Source organism: Homo sapiens, chromosome 18 (genome assembly GCF_000001405.40).
Source record: "Homo sapiens chromosome 18, GRCh38.p14 Primary Assembly".
Classification (NCBI taxonomy): domain Eukaryota; kingdom Metazoa; phylum Chordata; class Mammalia; order Primates; family Hominidae; genus Homo; species Homo sapiens.
This window is the reverse complement of record NC_000018.10, coordinates 58,086,105-58,112,996: the sequence shown is the minus strand read 5'-3', so window position 1 is coordinate 58,112,996 and position 26,892 is coordinate 58,086,105. Positions and strand designations below refer to the sequence as shown.

Genomic DNA, 26,892 nt, shown 5'->3' with positions numbered 1-26,892 from the left:
CTCACATGGTAGAAGGAGCAAACAAGCTCACTTGGCCTCTTCTTATAAGGGCACTAATCCCATTCATGAGGGCTCTACCCTCAGGACCTAATCACGTCCCAAAGGCCCCACCTCCTAATACCATCCCATTGGGGTTTAGGATGCAAATATTCAGTCTATAGTAGAGACCACATGATTTCACATTATATTAAAAATGTATATATAATGGGCCAGGCATGGTGGCTCATGCCTGTAATCCCAGCACTTTGGGAGGCCAAGGCAGGCAGATCACCTAAGCTCAGGAGCTCGAGATGAGCCTGGCCAACATGGAGAAACCCCATCTCTACTAAAAATACAAAAAATCAGCTGGGCATGGTGGCACATGCCTGTAATCCCAGCTACTTGGGAGGCAGAGGCAAGAGAATCACTTGAACCCAGGAGGTGGAGGTTGCAGTGAACCAAGATCACACCACTGCACTCCAGCCTAGGCATCAGAGTGAGACTCTGTCTCAAAAAATAATAATAAAATTTTAAAAATCTCTCTCTATATATATATACATACTGAAAATACAATTGATAGTTTACCGACCAAACTGAAGTAGGCAAAAATAAATAAATAAATAAATAAATAAATAAATAAATAAATAAATAAATAAAGACAAATAGGAACCACCACCTAAGTTCCTCAATTAAGAGAAGAGATAGGATGTAATTTTTGGTCTAAAACAAGATTGGCATTTCAGTTTAAGCTTGAAAGTTTAAGCCACTAAACTTGTCAGTTGATTCAATTGAAAACCTAAACACTGAAAAAATATCAAATCTTAAATTGAGAATGTAGGTCTGGTAATGGAAGGTAAGAATGTCCTTATGAAACATACATGTTGACACGGACAAATCCTCATAAACAGCCAAACATGGATAAATCTACACAAGTTAATGACAGCATAAGTTGCAAGTTGGGGACGGTATGTGCAAAGTCAGTAATGCAGAAATGTGATCTAAGTTTGGTGTTAAATGACATAAAACAACAGGGACACCCAGTAGGATGGCTATCACTGGACAGACAACACGTGTTGTTGAGGATGCAGATACACTGGAACCCTCAGACACTGCTGGGGGGGAATGTCAAATGGTGAGCTGCTTTGGAAAACAGTCTGGCAGTTCCATTCCTAGGTATAAACCCAAGAGAAATGAAAACATATTCATCCAAAACCTGTACAAGAATGTACTACATAGAGGTTCATAGAAGCAAAAAGCAGAAACAATCCAAATGTTCATCAACTGATAAATGGATAAACAAAACTCTACAGGGGTCAGCATGGCTTCCATCTCTAGAAACCATATGGTTTTATAACACAATGTATCCCATACAACAGACTAGTATTTGACCAATAAAAAGGAATGAAGTGCTGATACCTGCTATAACATTGATGACCCTGGAAAACACTCCACTAATTGAAAGAAGCCAGTCACAAACAACCATACATGGCATGACTCAGTTTATATGAAATGTCCAGAATAGGCAAAATGTAGAGATACAAAGTAGTTTAGAGGCTGCCTAGGGATGGGGAGAGGGATGTGTGGGAGAACTGGGGGGTGATGGTTATATCGTACAGGCTTCCTTTTATGGGTAATAAAAATATTAACATCAGCCAGGCACAGTGGCTCACACCTGTAATCCCAGCACTTTGGGAGGCCAAGGCAGGTGGATCACCTGAGGTCAGGAGTTCAAGACCAGCCTGACCAATATGATGAAACCCTGTCTCTACTAAAAATACAAAAACTAGCTGGGTGTAGTGGCATGAGCTTGTAGTCCTAGCTACCTGGGAGGCTGAGCCAGGAGAATTGCTTGAACGCAGGAGGCAGAGGTTGCAGTAAGCCGAGATTGTGCCACTCCACTCCAGCCTGGGCGACAGTGAGACTCTGTCTCAACAAGAGGAACAAACAAAAAAATTAACATCATAATGATGGTTGCACAACGTTGAATATAATAAAAGTAATTGAATTATACACTGTAAATGGGTGAATTGTAAGGTATGTGAATCATATCTCAATAAAGCTGCTTTTTTAAGAAAGCGTGTGTGTTTCTGACATTTAGTTCATTGAAAAATACCTTGGACAAAAGGATAATGGTAACAGCAGAAATGCTTTTGGTCCTAGCTATATTTGTCTGCCTGCGCACAAAGGCATACACATGCACAGGCATATACTGAAAAAGGGTAAGTTCAAAACTGATTTGTAGCTAAGGAAAAGAAAATGAGCAAGGTTTGGTCTCTTACACAAAAACTTGAGTCAGGAAGGGCTAGATTAGGCTAGAAAAACACCACCAAAATCCCCATGTCATCTTAAAGAGCCTAAAACAAAGGCTTCTCTCTCAGGGCAGGTCCATCGTGGGTGGCGGTGGCACAGCGCTCCCTCGGGGACTGAGGTCCACAGCACGGCTACCTTCTGGGACATGCCAAGCACCACAGCTGAGATAATGAGGGCCAGAGAGTCTCACCCTGGCTTCAAAAGCTTAGCTCAAGAGCCACACGAATCTCATCAGCTCACTGCCTAATTAGTCACAGGTTGTCACATGATGACCTGGGCTCAATGGAGCAGGGAGCATCCCACCCTCTATTCTGGAGATTAAAGATCCAAACCTGTGTGAACGGATCTTAATGACTACCCTAGATACAAAATTGCAAGCTCTATTCTTCAGGGCCAAGTCTTTAAAGAGGAGCTGGCATTCTCCATCCTTCCATCCCATGTGGATTGACTCCCATGGCTGGCCAGCTACCTTTGGGGAAGAAGGACAGTACTCAACCTGCCCATGCCCTCAGCCTCCACATGAAAGGCTATTTATCCACTTGGACACCCAAGCTAGAAACCCAGTCATGCCCACCCCAGACACACCCATCTTGATGCCAACTATCTCAAAGCTCTGCAATCTGTCCTCCTGGGCTGCTGTAGGGCAGCCCTAGGGCAGCCCAAGTTCAGAACCTCAGTCTCAGCAGAATCATCACAAAATCTTTCTAAAACATCCCCCCTCAACAACCCTGCCTTCCACTCTGCCTCCTTTCCAAATCAGCCTCCAAGCTGCTGTCAGTTTGGTCTTCCTAAAACTGTAAATATCATCAAATTGCTTCCCTGCTTAAAAATCTCCTAGTCAGCCGGGTTTGGTGGCTCATGCCTGTAATCCTAGCACTTTGGGAGGCCAAGGCAGGTGGGTCACGAGGTCAGGAGTTAGAGACCAGCCTGGCCAACATGGCGAAACCCCGTCTCTACTAAAAATACAAAATTAGCCAGGTGTGGTGGGGGGCACCTGTAATCCCAGCTACTTGGGAGGCTGAGGCAGGAGGGTTGCTTGTACCCAGGAGGCAGAGGTTGAGTGAGCCGAGATCATGCCACTGCACTCCAGCCTGGGTGATGGAGTGAGACTCCGTCTCAAAAAAAAAAAAAAAAACAAAAAAAAAACCTCCTAGTTGTTCCCAAAGCCTGTGTGATCTGTCCCCTTTCACAAATCTAGTCCTCCACTTACCACCCCCACAGCAAATGGATTCCTGAGCTGCTATTTTCCAACCATGCCATGTGGCCTCTCCCATCCCTCTAGACTTCTGCACATGCTGTTACCATTGCCTGAAATAACTTTTCCACTCTTCTCTGGGTGATTAATTCAAATGTTAATGCAAGTGCCTGCTCCCATCCTGGGGCAAAAATTCAGAAACTGTGAAACTCTTCTGTGGGCATAAATCCAAAAGTAGCCCTCTTCAATACCTGCATGACAACCTGAACACACCTGAATTGTAGCACTTATCACGCCCTCCTGGGCTTCCCGCCTGCCTGGAAGCTCAATGAGGGCAGGAGCCTTGCCTTATTCTAATTTGGAGCACCTAATCACGGCTGGTTCTCAGACTTCAATTGTTGAATGCATGAAAGAATTGATCCAAATTTTCTTGCTATATATTGTTTTCTATTAAATAAAAATATTTTAAGAAGTCCCTTAATTTGCCTCCACTTTTAGCTATCCACTTTCAACTTTCTACCTTCTTGCATAGCATTAGCACAAGTGCCTATCATGGGAAAGACACAATGCTGGACAGAACCTCCACATCCATTACTGCATGTGGCAATCCAATGTGATGTGTACAGTTATCCACTTTTCACAGGTGATAAGATGGAAACTCTGCCTATTTATGTCATATGGTATATCTGACAAAGCTATTAAGTGACAGAGCCAGGATTTAAACCCAGATAGCCTTAAGTCAAAATCCAGTCTCTATTATACCAAAATTTACTAATTAAAATAATAACAGTAGGCTGGGCACGGTGGCTCATGCCTGTAATCGCAACACTTTGGGGGGCCGAGGTGGGTGGATCACCTGAGCTCAGGAGTTTGAGACCAGCCTGGCCAACATGATGAAACCCTGTCTCTACTAAAAATACAAAAATTAGCTGGGCGTGGTGGCGGATGCCTAAAATCCCAGCTACTCGGGAGGCTGAGACACGAGAATCACTTGAACCCAGGAGGCGGAGGTTGCAGTGAGCTGAGATCGCACCACTGCACTCCAGCCTGGGCGACACAGTGAAACTTGTCTCAAAAAATAAACATAAAAATGAAATAAAATAATAACAGTATAAAATTAAGGTATACTTAAGAAGTTTAATTTCAAAATATTTTCATGATGTTCCTCTACAAACATAGATTAAAACAATTTTGGAGTTAAAAGCTACTTTTAGGAAACTGAGACCCAAATGATCTCTCCCCTGATAAGAACTGTACTGTGATTTCGTGCCTAGTACATGAGGCACCCCAAAGCTTTTAGTTCAATAAATGACTCAAATGCCTATCAAAATAACAAACTAATTTCTCAGGCTAACGTTTATCACGCAGTCAGCTAACACAGTATCTCTTCACTCAAGATCTAACTAAATCAATGTGCATCCCACAATGGGTCTGCGGACCCCAGATCTCCGTATTCTGAGGATCCTCCTCTCACCGCACAAAAAGTCCTTTCCAGCTGGGTGCAGTGGCTCATGCCTGTAATCCCAGTACTTTGGGAGGCTAAGGCAGGAGGATTGCTTGAGCCCAGGAGTTCACGACCAGCAGAAGCAAGATGGCAAAACCCCATCTTTACTAAAAATACAAAAAAAAAATTAGCTGGGCATAGTGGCATGCGTACCTGTAGTCCCAATTACTTGGGAGGCCGGAATGGGAGGATCATATGAGCCTGGGAGGTTAAAGCTGCAGGGGAGGAAAAAAGTCCTTTCCTCTTTGTCCACGACTGACTCTGTTGAAAGCCTTTTTTTTTTTTTCTGGAGACAGGGTCTTGCTCTGTTGTCCAGCTTGGGGTGCAGAGGCACAGATCTTTGCTCACTGCAGACTTGACTTCCCAGGCTCCAGTGATCCTCCCACCTCAGCCTCCAGAGGAGCTGGGCCTACAGGCACAAGCCACCACTTCTGGCTGATATTTTGTAATTTTTGTAGAGACAGGGTTTTGCCATGTTACCCAGACTGGTCTCAAACTCCTGGCCTCAAGTGATCTGCCAGCCTCGGCCTCCAAAAGTGCTGGGATTACAGGAATCAGCCACCTCACCTGGCCTGAAAATCATTTTCAAAAATCACCCAGACCAAGCACCTGCCTCCATCAGTTCTAATCCTTCCAAATTCTGGCTTCATTCCAATCCTTAATATCTGCGTATTCAATCCCTGTGTTTGATTACTAATCATTTACTGGTATTGGCTGAATTGTGTCCTCTCACCTCCAAAATTCATACATTGAAATCCTAATCCCCAGTACCTCGGAGTGTGACTGTATAAGGAGTCAGGGTTTTTAAAGGAGTAAATAAGTTAAGATGAGGTCAATAGGGTGGGCCTAATCCAATATGGCTGTGTCCTTACAGAAAGGAAATTTGGACACAGTCACACACAGAAGGAGGACCATGTGAAGAAGCAAGAAGGTGACCAATTGCAAGCCAAGGAGGGATGTCTCAGAAGAACCCATGCCTGTCAACACTTTGATCTTCGACTTCCAACATCCAAGATTATATTAAAAAAATAAATAAATGTCTGAGGTTTTGGCCACCCCATCTGCAGTTGTTACAGCAGCCCTAGCAGACTAACCCACTTCCTCATCATTCTCCTGCCGTGTCAAGAAGCAAAGCAGGTGAAGATTTCAGGGGACAGGTTCAGATCCTGGCTCAAGTCCTTTCTAGCACTGTGACTTTGGGCGAGTGGTTGAGTCTCTCATGCAAAATAGGTATGACAATTGCCCTTTCTGCATGATTGCTTTGAGGATTAAATGTGACCAAAAATGTTATTGTACTGTATTTCTGTAACAATTTTTTTAATCATCTGCCAGGCACTGTTCTTAGCACTCTGCATACTTTAAATCATTTAATCTTCATAACAACCCTATGAGAAGGGTCCTTCACTAACCCCTTTAACAGATGACAAAAGAGAAGCACCAGGAGGCAAGTGGCTTGCCCAAAGGCACATCTGAGAAGTATGGGAACCGGCCCCCCTTCACCAGGCAGCCTTTTGACCACTGCAGGGTCTCCCTTAAACCCACAGTACCTAGCACTCGGGAGACTCTCAACAAGGGGGAGCCTGTAAGCTCCCCAGGAGCTGCAGCTTTTGGCTTTTTCGGTACCTTCCCACAGACCAGTAGGTTCAAACTTATCTTAAATACCTACAGATAAGAAAGCTTCTACTAGGGTTAAAAAGCCTGAGCTGGAGTTGAAGGGGCAAGACTTAAGAGTAGGTACAAACCAACTTCCACAACCCAAAGTGAATGCCATCCACAGTTCTGGACACAGGCTCCCAGCCTGACAGTTGATTTGGGCAGTGTCCCAGGATCCTGGGCAGCACGGATGTCCCTACACAGGGCTTGTGCCTAGCTGGGGACCATCTGCTACCCAGATGGGGCCTCAGGTGAAAGAACAGCTGCTCCTCTCACTCTCCACATCAACAGCCTGCCCAAGAATGATCTTTCTACAGGGCCAAATGGCCATTCCGGAGCTGCTAGCTGATGCAGTAATCATTTAGCTGCTGGGTAACCTAAGGTTTCTTTTTTCATAACAATTTCTGGAATCTCATTATGCTGAAGCCTGACCCTGAAAACGGCAAAAATATGCTTTACCAGATAATTCAGTCACCATCACAGACTATGACCCCCACCCAGTGATCTTTTGCGGGCTGGCTTTCGTATTCTTTCCTTCCAAAAAGTACCACTGAAAAATGCAAGCAACATTGATGGAGAAAATCTGGAGTAAAACTAAGATGTAGTCAGAGGGCTTGAACCATTATGTGTGGAGTTGGCTTCAAAACAACACATTGACTCGTGATATCAGACCATGAGCCATACCACCTATTTTTCTTAATCATTTTCACAATATAAATAAGAGACAGGAATGAAAAATAAACACACAGCTCAGACAAAAAAGCAGCTTTGGCCAGAAAACATTACCAATGATCCTAAGCAAAAATAAACAGATTCCCATAGTCATTTAGAAGATTTAGATTAAAATCTTAATGTCATAATAATTAGGTTCATTAGCAAGTATTTATTAAGCCGTTGCTAGGCACTGCCAGGCACAGGAGTCTCGAGAATGACTAAGGCACACTCCCCTACCCTCCCAAGTCTCTGGTGGAGAGGGGAATACACTAACCCAACTGTCATGCAAGCACGGCCTGTGTCAAAATGCAGGGAGAACAGGGAGATATGGATTGAATCCTCGAAAGCATCCGATGAGCTCAAGTGAAACAGCATTGTCACAGCCCATTATGCGTTTCTGGGCTTCAGGCATCATACCTTCAGTCCTAGCGCTCTCCTTGCCGACAGATTTCTCAAAACTAGGACATGTCCAGACCACTGGTTCTTCCAGCTACTGGCCACACAGCTGCTAGCCAATCCCACAAACTGCTCTGATAGTTACCATACCTTATAAGTTACAGGCTTCCCCTGGTCCCTAATACCTGCTGACTTTACCTTCCCTCTTCCCTAGAAGCAGCTGAGGTTCTACCAACTTCACCACTAATATCCCACCTCTAACTTCCTCTGCTTTTTCACAGCAAGCCCAGCACATCTTTTTCTATTGTAGAAGACGCATCTCAGAATCCTCCCTGCAACAACGTGCTGTAATGGGTATGGGATGTGTTTGGGGGGTGGAGGGGTTGGTTGGGGGGCGGGGGTGTAGTGAAATACATGTGCACAGGCAGTACTCAGTATGAAACCATAAGAATGTCCATAGAAGCTGAAACGGTGCAAAACAATGTTAGTGATGAAAAGGAAAAAATGCAATTGTTCTGTGACTTCTTAAAAATTTTGTCAAAGCATTAAAAACTCTATTACTGTCAGTTATAAATGTACAAGGAAGTGAAAAATAGTGAAATATTCAGCACGTTGCCATTTAAAACCCTGGAAACAAAAAACTTATCAAGAAATATTTAAAAGTGCTTATCTTTTTGTCGCATAACTTATACAAGCGAAGCATCTTTTCTATGACTTGGTGAAATGTCACGTTTTTAAAATCGAGGTGAAATTCATATAACATCACCATTTTAAAGTAAACAATTAAGCGCATTTAGTACATTCACAATGTCATACAACCACCACGTCCGCGTGGTTGCAAAACATTTTCTGTCGCCCCAGAAGGAATCTCCACATCCATTAAGCAGTTGTTCCTCATTTCCCTACCGCGCCCCAGCCCCGATCTTAGAGATAAGCTTGCTGTGATCTTAGAAACCAAACCACAAATCTGTGTTCTTTCTCTACAGATTTACCAAGATCGTTCATATAAATAGAACCTTATCATATGTGACCTTTGTATCTGGCTTCTTTCACTTAGCATGGTATCTTTCAGGTTCATCCGCATTGTAGCAGGTATCAGTACTTCGTCCCTTTTTAAATCAATATTCCAGTGCGTGGATATATCACAATCTGTTTTTTAATCTATTCATCCATTTGTTAATCTATTCACCCACTGATGGATAACTGGGCTGTTTCTACCTTTCCACTATTGTGAACAGTGCTGCTAGGAGCCGTAAGTTTGAATAAGCATACATTTCATCCTTTGCATTTTCTATGCTGGGAAATGGTTCTGAGAGATCCTTTAATGTGAAATTTGTTTGTTTTGCCAAGGTCATGTCCTCTAGGACAGCTTTATTCTTTTCTTCACAACCACTTTCCTTGTTTATGTGGTAAACCTGCATTCTCCTCCTCGGGCTGCGCAGGCAGTCTCTCCAACAGCTGTACTGCCAATATTCCCACAGTCAGCTATTTCTTCTATAATTCCATGTAGGTTTTGGTTTCACTTCTAGCATTATCACTTTCAGCTTCTTTGCTGCACTTTTATCTTCGTTCACCAATTCCCTCTCGATTTTTGGTATTTTTGTAAAATGTCACACTGGTTTATCCCCAATAGCCAAGAAGGCCACAGAACTACACACTCTGCTGTCTGTGCATGAACTAAGGAACATGTGCACTGACCAATCACCCATGGGCTTTGAAAGAAGTGCTGTGATTGGCCACGGATTCTGACATGCATCTGTTATTTACATGGTGAGTTGTATACTGAAGCACTAGCAGCAAGCTTGTGTACTTCATGCAATTACTCAATTAACACACGGGGGTAACTGAGATTTGACTAGAGTTGTTGGGGAACTGGTATTATTTAAATCATGGTAATTGCAACTCATGCATATCAGAACTGTGCAAAGTCAGAACCATCTATATAATATATAATTATATATATTATATATAATTATAATATATAATATATCCACATATATAATATGTATATGTAATATATATAATATATGTAATTTAAGCATTACTATATATAGCAAATAGTTTGAGGATAAAGAGCACTGCAACAAGTTAGTGGCATTACTGCTACATAGACAAATAGACAAAGGTCAGTCTCCTGTCCATTCTACTCAGTTCATTCTGGGAGTATCGACACCAAATGCTCACTGTGTCCATAACACCGAGCCACTGTCATGATAAGCCAGCACAGATAATAAGCCAGCCGTGATCTTAGAAACCAAATCACAAGCTGGTTTTGAGCATGCAAACAAAGGCTGAGCTGCCTGAAAATAGCAGCTGCCACAGGATCAAACTTTCAAGATTACAATTTTACAGTACATATTTTATTTATTTTATATTATATACAGTTGTCCCTCAGCATTGATGGTGGAGTAGTTCCAGGACACCTGAGGATACTAAAATTCACAGATCCTCAAGTCTCTGACATAAAATGGTATAGGATTTGCATATAACCTACACACACCCTCTCATATACTTTAAATCATCTCTAGATTACATATAATACCTAATACAACACAAGTGCTACATAAATAGATGTGATACTGCGTTATTTGCATTACTTTTTGTTATATTGTTATTTTTCATTTTTCTAAATTTCTGAATATCTTCAATCTGCAGTTGGTTGAATCTGCAGAGGGAGAACCTGCAGATGGGGGTGGGGGTTAACTGTATTTTTAAAAGGAAGAAAATTTGATGTCAAAATTGGTTCTGTGAGTGGGCCCTGAGAGAGAATTCACTGAAAGAAAAGTGTTATCATACTTATTGCACAGAATTTTTGCCACATATTTCCAGGGTCAATTTTGTTCACTTTCTGGTTCTGATTATGTCTTCAATAGGTGGGGTTACAGCATAACAAGTTTCAGGAAAGTGAGCCGTTATAGTAGTTAAAAGTTGATTTTTAATCAGTCTTCCTAGGCCCTGTGTCTCTGGAGACATGTGAGCCACAGCTCACCAAGCAGTCACCACCCCCCACCCCTCTGTACCATTACTGCCTCTCACACAATGGAAATGTATTCAAATGCAGGCAGTCATGGAGGGGGAAGAAGATGAGAAGAAAGGAAATACATACCCGACCTTAATTCAAAATGATTTATCAGAGCTTAAATAAACATTCAGGGAAAGAAAAACAGAGGAAAAAAAAGATAAAATTAGGCTAGGAGTTAAGTGGATGTAGAAAAACTAACCAACCAAGGAAGGCAACACACTGGCCCTTGCTGGTAAAGCTTCTTGGTAGCCACATCAACATTAGGGTCTTAATAAATGGGTTGTGAACCATTTGCTTCTATACTAATTTAAAATAATACCCCCATTCATGTCATCATGAATAATTCACCCACTTTCCAAAAAGCACCCAACATGACACAATTAAACAAAAAAAAGTTCTCCATCCTGGCTCATTCTCTCTCTTGGTTTACAGTTGACATTTGCTATGAAGTAACTGACAAAGGCAGAACAACCATCCAAAGAGGTTTACAAATGCATCTGCCTTTGAATAAAAATGCATAGAATACGGAAAGCATTTCCATCTGGGAATACAGTTTTCTATTTCATGATGTCATTCTGTAATTTACTAATTGCAGGGTATGCAAAAATCTAATGTGCAAATGGAGGCTCGCAGGCCCAGTGCAATGAGCAACAGTCACTTGCTACTCAAATGACACTCGACACGGACGGAACCGAGAAATACTTATTGGAAACCTCAGCCCTCATTACCCAAAACAAAGAACGGGCTCTTTCCATGACCAGGCACTCCAGACACCAAATGCAAATTAAACCAACAGAACAAAAACTGTATTCAGAAGGCGCAGATTGCAAAAGCCTTGTTCTGAGTTCAGCCATTCACAGACCCTGAGGAGGACATCGCCCTCAGAGAAACACAGCTGGGCCACGCTGAATATGCCAGGAGTGATGCTCCTTTTAAGCCCAGAGATGTTCGACTCCACTTATCTAAGTCTTTCTACTTAGTAGTTTTCCTTCTCCTGGTTGGCTGTATCAGATGACTACTGAAATTTCATCTGATAGAAAAAGACATCCATTCCCTGCTGACATTTTTTGAAGCCATTGCTAAACTTCCATAACCCATAATCAAGTTATTTCTTTTTCATCCAGGCACGGTGGCTCACACCTATAATCCCAGCACTTTGGAAGGCAAAGGAGGGAGGATCCCTTGAGCCCAGGACCTTGAAACCAGCCTGGGCAAGCCAGTGAGACCTCATCTCTACAAAAAATACAAAAATTAGCCAGACATGGTGGTGTGCGCCTGTCATCCCAGCTACTCGGGAGGCCAAGGCTAGAGGGTCACTTGAGCAAGGAGGTCAAGGCTGCAGTGAGCCATATTCGCACCACTGCACTCCAGCCTGGATGGCAGAGCAAGACCCTGTCTCAAAAGAAAATATTTTTTTAATTAAAAATAAAAACATTCTTTCTTTTCTGCCCCCTAAAAGGAGCCTCCCACTCCAATATCCATTTCCATTAATGCCTACATCAGCTAAGTACGTAGGAGGAAGATGTTTCCTCAGGTTTTGCAGGTTTGTTTGTTTTTAAGGCCTTGCCCACTATGAGAGAGAGCCTGGTTTATGAACAAGTCAAAATCTCTTGCTCAGAAGAGAGATCTGGAATGCTTTAGCCAAGCTGTGGCCCAGCCTCTGTTCTCAATGTAAGAAAGGTCCCCAAAGGGTATTTTAATCCTATTCGTGAAACTTGAGTTTAGGATAAGGTCTTGGCGTTCAAAAGGCATACATAGACCAGGGGAAAGGAGCTGTCCTCTGGATCTGTTTGCTAAAACAATTTATCACCTTGGGAAAGTCCCTTAACCACCAATTGTCTCTCTCAAGCAGGTGGCAAGTAAATTACACTGTCATTACTCTGGCCTCTAAGGGAACTGGCTTGAGAGCTACAGTCTAACATAAATCTCAACTTTCAGAGGTAATTTCAGAATCGGCCATGATGTTAAGGGGCCTTAATGACTGATAGCCCAAGGAAGTGGTCCTCCTCACCCTACCACAGACAAGTGCTCCTCCCCACTCCAGACAGGGAAAATAGTACTCACTTCCCTGAGCCCACAGCAGCAGGCAGGTCCTGTGCTTCCTTTACCGAGCCCGAGGATGCATCATCCCAGCATGCTTCTGTCTTTGTCTTGGCTGCCAGGAAACTCAGAGCTGCCATTGGCTTCAGGAGTCCTTGAAATCAGTATTTTATCCCTTCTTTTCTGGTTCTATGATGATCACTTTCATTTTGGGGGACCTGCACTTTGATTATTAGCTATCTCAGATTATTCTGTAAAGCAAGCAGAATATAAAGCAAGAGAAGCAGAACATTACCTACTCTCTTATTTGGGGCTGGTTTTCCTTGAAGAGTTTTCCTATATTGTGTCTGTGCTACTAAAGGTCTGGGCACTAAAGCAGTCCCTGCCAGTCACTCACACCAATCCTAAGTCTCTAAAACAAAGGGCCGTCTTACACCCCTTAGAGTCTACCTCAAATGCCCAGGTCAGATTTCCAACTCTTTCAATATAGTCAAGAACCAATGAAGCAGACCTCCTGGTTTTAATGTGGACAGCACCCGCTGGTGTTGTGTTTAATGCATGCATTCAATTCCCATTAACATGTGATTGGCCTAAATGGTCATCAGGTGGACTGAAATACCACTATCCCACTCTAACAGGAAATAGCACTAAAGGAAGAAAGCTGCTGGCTGGTACACAGCAGACATTCGACAAATGTGGGTCATGTGCATGAGAACCCAAACCTGCCTATTTTCCCATTAAAAAATAGTTTAGTATTTATTACTAAGTAATGATAAATGCATTCAACAAACATTTGCCAAATGCCCATTATAAGCAAGGCACTGACCTAGATGCTATAAGGAAAATACAGATGAGTAAGACAACAGGCCTTGAGGAAGCCTGCTTATAAGGCACTGGGATTTGCTTGAGCCCAGGACTTCAGGGTTGCAGTGAGCTACGACGGCACCACTGCACTTCAGCCTGTGCAAGAGAAAAAAACTTGTCTCCAAAAAAAAAAGGACACTGGGGTATAAGGAAGTCAAAATAACCAGAAGAATCTGGACACAAACAGGTACAGATATTCAAAGATTATTACAATTTTCAAGTATCTACAAATGAGTTCATTTAACTCTATAATTTCATGTGTCCCAATGTGGAGCTAGAAAAAAGATAGTCATCACAACTATAATACAAGGTGGCAAGTAAAACTCGTCATGACAAGTAACATAATAATAGTGACCTGGTGCTCACTGAGAACATCTGCTTACCACATGGTTTAGCATTTACTGACGAAACCCTGTGACATGGGTTGGGTATCACCATCCTTCTTTAACACATTGGGAAACTGGTGCTCAGAGACGTCAGCAATTTGATACATTTTCAAAACTAGTAAGTACAGAGTGATGACTGTGAGCCACCACTATCTTCTCACCCTAGTATCCCTCTGTGCCTCTTAGGGAATCTAGAATAAAAGAGACCAATTCCTTCTGGGGGGCTCCAGAAATAATTCCGGAAAGTGTGAGAGTTTGGGTCTAAAAGAAATGAGGAAATGACAATGATGATGGCAGCAGCTAGCAACTGTACAGCTCAATAACACCATGAAATAGGTACTGCCACTATTCCTATCATACGGATGAGGAAACTGAGGCATAGAGTGGTCACACAGCTGGAAGATGGCCAAGCAAGGATTCAAACCCAGGCAGTCGGCCTCGAGAATTCACACCTCTAACCACTCAGGACAACGCCACTGTATCATGGCGCTCCACGATCAAAGGCCCGGAGGCTGAGAGTGCTTAGAAACTGATAGAAGAAAAGTAAAGGCAGGAACAGACGGGCCTTATTACCCTTCATAGGCCTAGGAGTCTGAACCTCATCAGGCAATGTGGGGCCTGAAGAGGGTGACCAAAGGGACTTCTTGCAGGGTCCCTCCCACACCTGCAGGCTGGGCAACAGGCTCTGTCCCTCCCAACAAACACAGGAGAGGGATCCCCTCTCAGTTCTCCAAGTCTCCTCTGCTCAGCTGACCTTAGGCATGAACTCTCCCCCTTCCCATGGCCCTGCATTCTGCCACTTGTCAGATTCTTCACCACTATTCTAACAGTCATCTGGATAAAACTAAGCAGGGAAAGCCATTCTCTGCAACTATACTTTTGGTTTTTGTTTTTGTTGCTATTTTGAGACAGAATCTCACTCTGTCGCGCAGGCTGCAGTGCAATGGCGTGATCATGGCTCACTGTAGCCTTGACCTCCCAGGCTCAAGCGATCCTCCCACATCCGCCTCCCAAGTTGCTGGGACTATAGGTTCACTACCACATCCAGCTAATTTTTTATTTTTTGTAGAGATGGGGTCTAGCTATGTTGTCCAGGCTGGTCTTGAACTCCTGGGTTCAAGCGATCCTCCAGCCTGAGTCTCCCAAAGTGCTGGGATTATAAGCATAAGCCACCATACCTGGTCAACTACAGTTTTCTAATACTTCTCACTGTTTCCTTTAAGTCCCCTCCGGCATGCAACTACACCAGGCTGGCATCTGAAACCATTTACCTCTTCCCACTCCATCTGTATATCTGATTACAGTGTGTGTCTATTCAGAAGGGCCTTGGGCTCAATTAACTTTAGACTTTAGATAAGGCATGATATACTCTCTGACTCACTCCAGATAAAGGGCCAAGGATTCCTGCCTTAGTGCTATAATTAGTTGAGAATGCAACGTGGGGGGCTCTGATCCTTTGTTTCTGATGTCCTTCACTCATTAAAAGTAGAACACTTTGCCTGGTGCTGTATCACTTCAACTAAACATGTGTTTGTTTTAGGTTCTGTTTACTTGTCCCAGGGATGGAATGCTTCTCCCACTTGGAATGGCCCTTGCAGCCTGCCGGCCAACTGCGAACTATGGCCTGGGCAAAAATTCAGAGGCAAACACTCGAATGCTCTCTCCATGTTCTTAACAGCACTTGGCATGGAGCTGGCACTAATATTCTGAACAGTCATTTACAATGGTCTCATTTCCTTCCCATCAGAATGAAAAGCCACAGAGCTGGAGGGCTGTGTCATAAGTCTTGCGAACAAAACAATCTTCGTGCATTCACTTTTTTTTTTCTTTTTGTAATTTAAGGAAGAATTCCAAATGGTTTGCCTCTTGCAATGCCACAGTTTGATGTGAAATTGTATGAAGCACTGACTTTCATACAAAGTTCTGAAGATCAGAACCTTAACTGACTAATGCAAAATAGAAAGAGAATAAATAGAAAGCCCTAAGTTCTAACTGCCACCTGCCATTCTTCCACATGGCAATTTAGCACAATGATAAAGATTCTGCAAGGCTGAAAGGATTTCACATTCCAACACACCGCATTCTGTGACTTATGGGCCTTCAGGACAGATGGAACTGTGTTTTTCCAATGTAAGGGAAAAATTCATTACAGCAAATAAGCATGGAGTTGGTTTCTGAACTTACTGATGTTCTTTTTTAAAAACAAAACTCACAACATAAAATACAAAATCACACTAAGGCCAGGTGGGGTGGCTCATGCCTGTAATCCCAGCACTTTGGGAGGCTAAGGTGGGTGGATCATCTAAGGTCAAGATCAGCCTGGCCAACATGGCAAAACCCCATCTCTACTAAAAATACAAAAATTAGCCAGGCATTGTGGTGCATGCCTGTAATCCCAGCTACTCGGGAGGCTGAGGCAGGAGAATTGCTTGAATCTGGGAGGTGCAGGTTGCAGCGAGCCAAGACTGCGCCACTGCGCTCCAGCCTGGGTGACAGAGCAAGACTCTGTCAAATAAATAAAATAAAATAAAATAAAATAAAATAAAATAAAATAAAATAAAATAAAATAAAATAAAATAAAATAAATAAAATAAAATAATCACACTAAGGCCAGGAGGATTCGTTTTAGATAAAGATGACCACAGAATGCCTTTTATCAAACTACCCTGAAAATGTAATTGATTCAATATTCAAAAATAGTTTTCCCATATTTTCAGAAACAGCTATTGGTTATAAAGTACCCTGTACAGAAGAAAATAATAAAGGAAAAGAGCCACACACTAACATTAGGTTCTACCAAGGAGTTCATGAGGAAAACCATGCTCATCCTAATGGATGAGCCTTTCCATGTAAACATTTGGCATTCCCAAAACCTAAGTCCTAAAACTCTAAATCAGGGGTGTCCAATCTTTTGGCTTCCCTGGGCCACACTGGAAGAAGAAGAATTGTCTTGGGCCACACATAAAATACACTAACACCAATGACAGCTGATGAGTTTAAAAAAAAAAAAATCACACAAAAGGCTCATAATGTTTTAAGAATGCTTACGAATTTGTGTTGGGTCACATTCAAGGCCATCTTGGGCTGCATGTGACCTGCTTGTGGTTGCACAAGCTTGCTCTAGATCACGGAAGTCAAAGCTTTCTGGCAGAAATTTAAGTATATAGGCAAACCTTTTATTAATGCTCAAATAAAAATATTGGAAAATGTTCATGAAAAGAACCAGAAGAAACTATGGAAATGATTACAGGGCTGGCAGAGATGTTTCCACCTGGTGAGATTTCAAGCTCCACAGTGTCGATCAATGCCCATGGCCCCAATGGGCGAGGATTCCATGGGACCAACCAAGGCGGCCACAGCTTCTCTCTGTGCCCTGCCTCTCTGCCCTTTGGCCCCGACTGAGCCCTGCAAGGCCCCTCTGCATTCCAGTCCCATCTTCCTGTCCAGGCCTCAGTGCTGCAGACAGATCCAATTACTCCCCACGCGGTGGGAGCAACGACTTTAAGCAGCAGCTTTTGCCACTCCCTCTGCCCGAACTGGCTTCCCCCCATCTGTTCACCCTGGGAATTCTTCAGGCTCAGCCATCATCCATTTCATTTGCACCTTCCCAGAGCGAGCACCTGGCACCCATACCCTCAGTAAGAAGCTGCTGAATAAATGTCCCCCCTCTTTGCCTGCCTCCATGGCCCTGGGTGCCAAGCACAGTGTGTAGCTCAATAAATACTAAGCAGCCCAGGCAGGAGCAGAAGAACCCAGATGAGTGACATCGGAGTGAGTTGGGAGTGGAAGGAAAGAACATAGGAATAAAACAATGAGAACCTCTTAACAACATCTTAACTTGTGAAACATCTAGAAAAGCACCAAAGTCTAAGTGAATACACAATCAATAGGCATCCAAAATCTCAGACACATATCTAGATCGTCTAATGTGTCAGCAACTCTGTGGTGAGCAAAGGGCTAATGACATGGGGTGCTTGTTTTTAAACTCATAGGCCATGAACAGGGAAATCCCTTCTTTTTTTTTTTTTTTTTTAAGTGCTCTTTCTAGAGGCATTCACGGCAATCAAGCCTTACAGCCTACCTATTTCTTAGCCGTAATTTGGAATCATCTGTCTTCTAGCCCATACCTTCAACTGCCAGGTCTGTAAGGCCCTCAAGGTGCCGCCACCTATGCAGTCAGGCTCCTCCATGCCATGCCTTGCAGTGGCACTCCACTCAGCAAAATGATGTTGGGGCCATCTACACAGCAGGGGTGGAGTCCATGGAGAAGGGGAAGGGCTCTGAGGTGTGATTACGAATAAACACAGTCCACGGGGCTGAGCATGGGAGAATGGGGGTATTCCAGACACAGGAAATGGCCAGAGCACAGTCAGGCACAAGAATGCCGGGTGAAATGGGTGCAGTCGTCCAGCCGGCCAGGGCGGCGAAAAGGTAAGGGTGCAGGAGTGGCTGGGTGCAGTGGCTCACGTCTGTAATCCCAACACTGTAGGAGGCTGAGGCGGGCAGATCGCTTGAGCCCGGGAGCTCGAGACCAGCCTGGGCAACATGGAGAAATCCCGTCTCTATAAAAAAATACAAAAAATTAGCCAGGCGGGGTGGCATGTGCCTGTGGTCCCAGCTATCTGGGAGGCTGTGGCAAGAGGATCATATGAGCCCAGGAGGTCAAGCCTGCAATAAGCTATGATCGCGCCACCACACTCCAGCCTGGGCAACAGATGGAGACCCTATCTCAAAAAAAAGAAAAGAAAAATTAAAAAAAAAAAAGGGGGTGCAGGAGTCCCAGGAGGAGAAATCACAAAGGCAGGAAGGTGGCAGATGAGAAGGACTTTGCAAGCTGCACTAGGAAATTGGGCCTTTATTCTGCAGGTAGTAGAGAGTGACTTATGCCAATCCATGCTGTATCTGCCACCATCTGTGGCAGTGTAATGAGGAAAGAAAGGAGTCAGGCTTCAGGAAAGCAGCCCACAGCCCTGCCTCAATCACTCTGGAAGCCCCTGGAGCTGGGACTGCATGTCTTGCTCTAGCATTCAGTGGGGCATGCAGCAATTTTTCAAGAGTGGCTCCAATTTTACAATGGACAGTATAATTCCTCCAAGTTTAACCTATTTTAGATGTTCTATATCATTCTTCTGAAAAGTTCAATTTCCTTATTGTGTGGAATAAAGTATTTATGATGGTTGGAGAGTTGATGGGAATTCTCCTCCTCTGGCGTAAATTGTGCAATATTTGACCACTGCATTCTATCATCAGACAACACATGAGCACGTAGCAAATATAAGACTACCACCAACTGTATCGCACTTCTTTCCGTGAGAAAGTCTCAAGTGAACTGCTCAGCATGAAACATGAATATGCGCACAGTAGTGAATTGAAGGTATTCAGCTTCAATTTGGGTGGGGTGGGAGATGTTTTATTTACCCCACCTAGAGACAACTCTAGCTCGCTACTCCTACTTTTCAAGAAAAACCTGTTAAACAGTATTCTCTGCTAGCCTAAGGGACAAATATAATTTTGAAATGTTATTACTAACCAACCATGATAGCTTGAGAGGCTGAATGAGAATGAGTGATTAGTACACTGTCTTGCGCAGTTCTTACCAAACATCTATCATTCAAGATGCCTGTGAAATGAGTACTTCTTGAAAAACTCCTATGTGAAATGCACCATGCTAGATGTCAAAAAAATTTAAAAATCAGTATATTTAGCAAAATCCATGCTCCCAAGAGCTCACAATCTACAAAAAGAACCTATTTCCATCACCATTTCATTGAAATGTCCTGTTGCCTAAGTGACACTCATATTACAAGCCCCTGGTCATTTACCTTAAAAAAGAATCTGTCCACATACTGCTGAAACATCAGTCAAGAGAGGGAATACTCCGTCCCTACTAAAAATACAAAAAAAAATTAGCCAGGTGTGGTGGCGGGCACCTGTAGTCCCAGCTACTCGGAAGGCTGAGGCAGGAGAATGGCGTGAACTTGGGAGGCGGAGCTTGCAGTGAGCCGAGATCATGCCACTGCACTCCAGCCTGGGGGACAGAGCGAGACTCCATCTCCAAAAAAAAAAACAAAAAAAAAAGAGAGAGAGGGAGTACATGGATTTTTTTTTTTTTTTTGGTACCAGGGAGAGAATTTTACCTTTTAATCTGTTAATCTTAAATTCCACATAAACTGAAATTTTGCTCATGTGCACCACATCTCAAGTGCTGTTGCCTTCATGCTCTTACACGAACTCTTCTAGATCAGAACATTCTCTTCTGCTTGTCTTCTCCTCCATAAGAGCAGGTGCAGAGCTGTGCTGAGTGGCTTGCAGAGCCAGTATGTGAATGGTGGTGATTCCTACTCATCTCCATTCACTCTAAGCAGTTTATCAAGATTCCTCATACAACTTTCGTACCTCCCAAATCAAAGTCTCATCAGAAATGCCCTGCCTAGTGCTCCTTCCCCACCCGTTCAGCATCTGTGATCTCTGCTCTGTCCCTTGGACGCCCTGGGCCTTGGCATACTGTGCCCGAGAACCGCTTCCACCCTCAATTCAAATGAGAGTTGCTGGGCAATCTTTCCTGCCTTCTACACACAATCCCCCACCCCAAATCCCAAATACACCCATGGGGATCTGAATGCAGCATGCCATCACCCATCTTATACGTAAAATGGGAAACAGAGCAAGACGTTCAGCTGGTGCATCTACACCTTTATCTCCGACGTTGCCAATTCCTCCAGCTAGCACCCAGATGAAAGGACCTCCCCCGAAGGGAGGATGCTGGTGGCAAGTCACAGGGCCTGCCCTGACTTCTGCCCCCTGCCATCCCCTCTTTTACTCACATCTGTAACTTGGTTCTTCCAAGATTTATTTACCTGGCTTGGAGTTGACACAAAGCTACAAAGAAAACCTAATATGTGGAATAACAGAGTCATGAGTTCCAGAGATGACACTTAATGGCTCAATGTGACATCCCTTACAAAAGCAAGAGTGATGGCCAGTGGGGAAGCAACACAGTTCCCAGGGCATGTAGTGGCTCAAGTCTTCTAAAAGCATGAAATGAGTCCCCTGTGGCATCTGGTTGCCAAAGGAGCTTCCACAGTCTCAGGCAATGTGAATAATGCTATTACATGTGCATTTACATTAAGACAAACTCTCATGCCACAGTGCAGATCACAGCAGTTAAGAAAGCAGGTTGAGGACTCCCACCTAAATGAAAACTCTGGCTTCTCCTTTTACTAGCTGCTAGAACATGGGCAAGCTATGAAACCTTTTTGAGAATCAAATGCCTCATCTATAAGATGGGGATAAAGCAAATACTTACTTACGCTCTAGGCTGCAGTGAAAATGAAATGAGTAAGTCCATGTAAAGCCCTGAGCAATGGTGCCAGGCACACAGGAAGCACTCAGTGAAGGGAGCAGGTACTGGTGACTCACCATTCTGCCAGCAGCCACTTTGCACTGGGCACCAGCACATACCAGCCCCCATCAGGAAATGTGCACAGTCCATCTCATCTTGTTTCATCTTCATTTTATTAATGAGGAACTGAGAGTCCAAGAAGGTTCAATCATTTGCTCAAGGACAAAGAAGTGCATATCAACTCAAGATCTGAGCGACTCCAAAGCCCAAGCTCTGTGCCCCCGATAACACTAAAGGGCTCTGGAACCTTCCCTCACTGTGCCAAATTCTGGTCACCACACTTTAGGAAAGGTACAGAGCAACTGGAACCTAGCCAGTGAAGAGCAAGTGCATGGTAGGTGGCAGCAGGAGGTCTGAGAAGAGTTGTTGTGGAAACACAGGCTCAACCTGGCTCTCTCTCAGCTTGCATGGTGGAAGGAAGGTTAGTGTGTGTAAAATGGACAAGAAGGCAGATTTCACCTCAAATTAAGGAAGGACATTTTAATCTCTGTTACTATTCCAAGGGTAGAAGTAAGGTGCTTCAGGAGGTAGTGAGTTCCCATCTGCAGGGATACTCAAACATCAGCTATAAGGTACTTCCTGGACAGGGGACCTGCTTGGTTGTTGGACTCAAAGACTTTTAGATTCTCATCCAAGCTAAGTCTACTATTTGAAGGTTGCTTTTGAAACAACATACTTCTATGAAAAAACTTCTACAGAAAGAACAAGCGACAAAGTCTGAAATCTCAAATGAAATAAAATAAATCACAGGTGTGGCCAGGTGCATTGGCTCGTGCCTGTAATCCCAGCACTTTGGGAGGCCAAGGTGGGTGGATCAATTGAGGTCAGGAATTCAAGTCCAGTCTGGCCAACATGGCGAATCCCCGCCTCTACTAAAAATACAAAAATTAGCCAGGCGTGGTGGTGCACACCTGCAGTCCCAGCTATTTGGGAGGCTGAGGCAGGAGAATCGCTTGAACCAGGAGGTGAAGGTTGCAGTGAGCCAAGATCGCACCGCTGCATTCCAGCCTGGGCAACAGAGTGAAACTCCGTTAAAAACAAATCATGGGTGTTATCTGGATAATATCACTGTGATGTGAAATGGTAATACACCGGAGAAAACGGAAGGAACCAACAAAAGCCCAGGAGTTCTCATACCAAAGAAAACAAGGAGGTTCTACCAGCTGCACTCAGATCTCATGGCCCAATGACAAAAACTTTTAAGGTCCCCCAAAGGCACATGTTAATTTACACTTATAGTAAAACCTCCTACTGGGTCCCTAAACTAGTCACATGTAGTTTCAACAAATCCATTCCCAAAGCAGTAAGCAAGACCGTAACACCAAAAGGAAGAATGAAGGTGAGGCTAACTAAGAACCACAGATAAAGCCCACCCTCTAAGAAAAGGAAGTTTGGGCTGGGCATGGTGGCTTATGCCGGTAATCCCAGCACTTTGGGAGGACGAGGTGAGCAGATCACGAGGTCAGGAGTTCGAGACCAGCCTGACCAACATGGTGAAACCCCGTCTCTACTAAAATTACAAAAATTAGCCGGGCGTGGTGGCACATACCTGTAATCCCAGCTACTCAGGAGGCTGAGGCAGGAGAGTCACTTGAGCTTGGGAGATGGAGGTTGCAGTGAGCTGAGATAGTGCCACTGCACTCCAGCCTGGGAAACAGAGTAAGACTCTGTCTCAAAAAAAAAAAAAAAAGGAAAAGGAAGTTTGGACACAGACACAGAATAAAGACCCCGTGAAGACACAGGGAGAAGATGACTGTCTGGGAGCCTCAGAGAAACCAACCCTCATGACGCCTTGATCTTAGGCTTCTGGCCTGTAGAACTGCCAGGAAAGAATATCTGCTTAGTTTAAGCCACAGCCCTAGCTGATGAACCCTTGCTCTCAATGGATGTAGCTCTCCCATTCACCTTTCACTTTTCTGAGATGCATTTAAAACCATTTGAATCCAAAGGTTCAAGTGTTATTTTAAACCACTCACCACCCCATCCCATTCAGTGCCTATCAACCACTTCCAAAAGCTTCCTCTGAAATCAGTAACTCACATTAGTTATACGTGCCCCAGCCAATTCTTTCTATGGAAAGATAGAATTATGAAATACGGCCAGGCATCGTGGTTCACGCCTGTAATCCCAGCTCTTTGGAAGTCTGAGGCAGGTGGATCACCTGAGGTCAGGAGTTCAAGACCAGGCTGGCCAATATGGTGAAAGCCCATCTCTACTAAAAATACAAAAGATTAGTCAGGCATGGTGGCATGCACCTGTAATCCCACCTACTCGGGAGGCTGAGGCAGGAGAATCGCTTGAACCCAGGAGGCAAAGGTTGCACTGAACTGAGATTGTGCCACTGTACTCCAGCCTGGGTGACAGAGCAAGACTCCATCTCAAAAAAAAAAAAAAAAAAAAAAAAATTATGAAATAAAACTTGAATGGGTAGAAACGTGGTACATATGAATTAGGTTTTCTCTGAGGCCAATTCTTCCACATTATGGAGCAAAAGCTAAGGTATTTTCTTACGACCAGGTTGGAAGCTGTAGGCGAGTGGGGACCTTATCTATCTGTCCAGTGCCATATCTGGGGCACATGGAATGCTGTCTGGCCAGCAAGTGGAATTCAATAAATATTTGTTGAGTTCAAGAACACCTGGCTTTTTTTCCCACAAGTAAACTGGAACATCTCATAGCAAAATATCAAATAAAGGAGAATATAAATACGCCAGTCAGTAACATAACTGCCACACTTGAACGACAAATTTCACTCTCAGCTTCCTCATAGCCAGGGCAACAATGGAAACCAAGCTTCTATTTATACTGATTTATGATGCAAAAAAAAAGTTCTCTAAATATTTACAAAATGGACATTGGGTAATAAAACCATGTCCCCAGCTGCATTTATACAAAAATGCAATAATGAAGTTTATATGTTCCTTTCACGAAAGTAAAATCTACTAATAAAAGCAGAGGGCATATACATAATACTAAACTTCAACCCAATTAGATCTATTACTATGAGAGGCTTTGTATATAGAGGCCCAAGGGTAACAAAATAGCAATCCCAACTTAACATAAGAATAAGACACTGGATGGACTACTTGTCTTTCTAAGGCAAGCCATTCTCACAAGTTTTACAACACACTGGTATGCCACAATCAAGTCTGAGGTGTATCTGAATTTCTTACCAATTATGTTATCAAACCTCCATGATAGCCCCCAATAATTCTTGCCTCCTGGACTCACCCTCATGTAGTCACCTCTCACAATGAATAATGCTGACGTGTAACCCACAGGATATTGCAGAAATGACAGAGTGTTACTTCTGGGATTATGTGATAAAATGACACTGCAGCTTTCCCCTGGTCTCCTGAATCATGTGTCCTGAGGGAAGTCAGCTGCCCTGTAGTGAAGGCATTCACGCACCCCTCAGAGAAGTCCACCTGGCAAGAAAAGCAGGCTTCCTGCCAGCAACGGCACCAACTTGCCAGGTATGTGAGTGAGGCAACTTGGAAGCAGGTGCTTCAGTCCCACCCAAGCCCTAGCGGGCATAATGACTGCAGCCTCAGGAAACCCTGAGACATACTGACACAGCGGAGACACTCTGGGATCCCTGACCCCCAGGAAGTGTGTATGGCAGTAAATGTTCATTTTTGTTTGGTTTGTTTGTTTTGAGATGGAGTTTCACTCTTGCTGTCCAGGCTGGAGTGCAATGGTGCGATCTCAGCTCACCGTAACCTCCGCCTCCCAGGTTCAAGAGATTCTCCTGCCTCAGCCTCCCGAGTAGCTGGGATTACAGGCATGCACCACCACACCCAGCTAATTTTGTATTTTTAGTAGAGATGGGGTTTCTCCATGTTGGTCAGGATGGTCTCAAACTCCCAACCTCAGGTGATCCGCCCGCCTCGGCCTCTCAAAGTGCTGGGATTACAGGCATGAGCCACTGTGCCTGGCCAGTAATGTTCCTTGTTTTCAGCCACTAAGCTTTGAGGCAATCTGTACTGCGGCAACACATAACAAAAACTAACAGATTCTGGTAACTGGAATTGGTATGCTTGCTAAAAAGAAAAAAAGAAAAATTCCTAAAATGTGTGAGTGACTTTGGAACGTGGCAATGGGCAGGAACTGGAAAGACTGTAAAAAGAGAGTTCGAAAACCCCTGAAGAGCCCTGGAAAAGCTAGAACCTGGAGGGCCTTTCAGGAGACTGTGGATGATGGTGTAGAGAGGAAAATGTTACTGGAAACTGGAAAAGGAGATCTTTGTTATTTCCTGATGGAAAGTTTAGCAACGCCATTGCCTGCTACAATGTGGGAGATGGAAAATGTACCTAAGGAGATGGCTGAATGTAGCTAAGGCAATTTCCAGAGTGTTGAAGGTCCCACCTATAAAATCCTTTGTTAAGAAGTCAGGAAAAAATCCAAGGCAATGGCTCAGAGAACAATTCTGGCAAACCAAAGGCCCTAAGAAGTAAGGGTGTTGTCCTTCAGCAGTCTCCACAGAAGTCTAATGTTTAAAAAGTGAACTCCAGTGAGATTCACAGGACATCCACAATGCTTTTAAAAGAATTACACCAGCAGAACCTCATCAGGTTGGACTCTTGGATTGAAAGGCACAGAAACAGTACAAAATGATTACTGGCAGGATACAGAGTGAGAAATCTATTCAGATGGAAACAGGTTAACTTTCACTGAAAAGAAAGAATGAATGTGTGACACAATGAATGCTTATTGTTTTCATATGCTAAATTTGGAGGCAATTTGTTACACAACATTAGATAACTATCATATTAATAATATACTTTTCCCCCAAAACATAATCATTTCAAGATTATTCCTCTAATTCCCTTGGATTCAAAAATACTTTTTTGAATAGAAAATAGTGAAGAAAGTCAAGTAAGGCAACTTACAGCCTTGTTTGTACTTAAAATGTATCGGGCATGTTACCGTCTGTCCTGTGTGGAAATATCAGAACAACAAAAAGGCTAAAAATGAGAGACTTGAAAGTTTTTCCCTAATATTTTTGGAAAGTAAAGGTTTGTCTTCCTACATGAGTAATACATTCAAATAGTTCAAAATAAATATATGAGAATGTACATCATAAAAACATCCCTCTCACCCTGCTCCTCAACCTGCCAGTCTCTCCCATCCCCTGCCACACCCACATCCAGAGCCCCCACCCTGCAGGGAACCACTACTGCTAGTTTCTTAGGAATTCTTCCCAAGTTTCTTATGGATCTACAAGCAAATATGAAAATCTCGTCTTATTTTCTCCCTTCTGACACAACAGGTAGGACATTTTACACAGTATTCTGCATCTTGGGAAGCTTTAAATTAGCTGGCAAGGTGTCCAATCAAGGCTCTATATTCTGGCAAAAGATCTGGATGACAGATGTTCTACAGAGCTCAATGGAGTCAGAGTCAAATGTTTTAAAGGATTAAAAGT

General features: G+C 43.5%; 1 protein-coding gene across 23 annotated transcripts in view, besides 5 other annotated features; it reads right to left on the bottom strand.

Annotated features, from left to right (window-relative positions):
• Nucleotides 1-26,892, bottom strand: part of NEDD4L (NEDD4 like E3 ubiquitin protein ligase) — a 357,315-nt gene that overhangs the window by 288,544 nt on the left and 41,879 nt on the right. For 2 of the 23 annotated variants that reach the window (XM_047437409.1, XM_047437410.1), the window contains exon 1: nucleotides 18,191-25,171. The exons of the other annotated variants lie outside the window; for them this stretch is intronic. In XM_047437409.1, coding sequence (XP_047293365.1) covers nucleotides 18,191-18,253 — 63 coding nt within the window. In that variant the 5' untranslated portion in view covers nucleotides 18,254-25,171. Of the gene's footprint in view, nucleotides 1-18,190; nucleotides 25,172-26,892 lie in introns of those variants that run through there. 23 annotated transcript variants of the gene reach the window in all.
• Nucleotides 21,654-21,803: an enhancer, noted in NCBI's record as "active region_13383". NCBI's record gives its function as "activates an Ori minimal core promoter by ATAC-STARR-seq in GM12878 lymphoblastoid cells {active_cell/tissue: GM12878}" and the evidence as "EXISTENCE:reporter gene assay evidence [ECO:0000049][PMID:35858748]".
• Nucleotides 21,814-21,913: an enhancer, noted in NCBI's record as "active region_13382". NCBI's record gives its function as "activates an Ori minimal core promoter by ATAC-STARR-seq in GM12878 lymphoblastoid cells {active_cell/tissue: GM12878}" and the evidence as "EXISTENCE:reporter gene assay evidence [ECO:0000049][PMID:35858748]".
• Nucleotides 24,231-24,906: an enhancer, noted in NCBI's record as "OCT4-NANOG-H3K27ac hESC enhancer chr18:55755323-55755998 (GRCh37/hg19 assembly coordinates)". NCBI's record gives its function as "activates a minimal SCP1, AML or CMV promoter by ChIP-STARR-seq in primed H9 embryonic stem cells {active_cell/tissue: H9 hESC(primed)}" and the evidence as "EXISTENCE:reporter gene assay evidence [ECO:0000049][PMID:30033119]".
• Nucleotides 24,231-25,100: a biological region, named in NCBI's record as "Sharpr-MPRA regulatory region 539".
• Nucleotides 24,806-25,100: a silencer, noted in NCBI's record as "tiled region #539; K562 Repressive non-DNase unmatched - State 5:Enh". NCBI's record gives its function as "represses a minimal TATA promoter and a strong SV40 promoter by Sharpr-MPRA in K562 cells {active_cell/tissue: K562}" and the evidence as "EXISTENCE:reporter gene assay evidence [ECO:0000049][PMID:27701403]".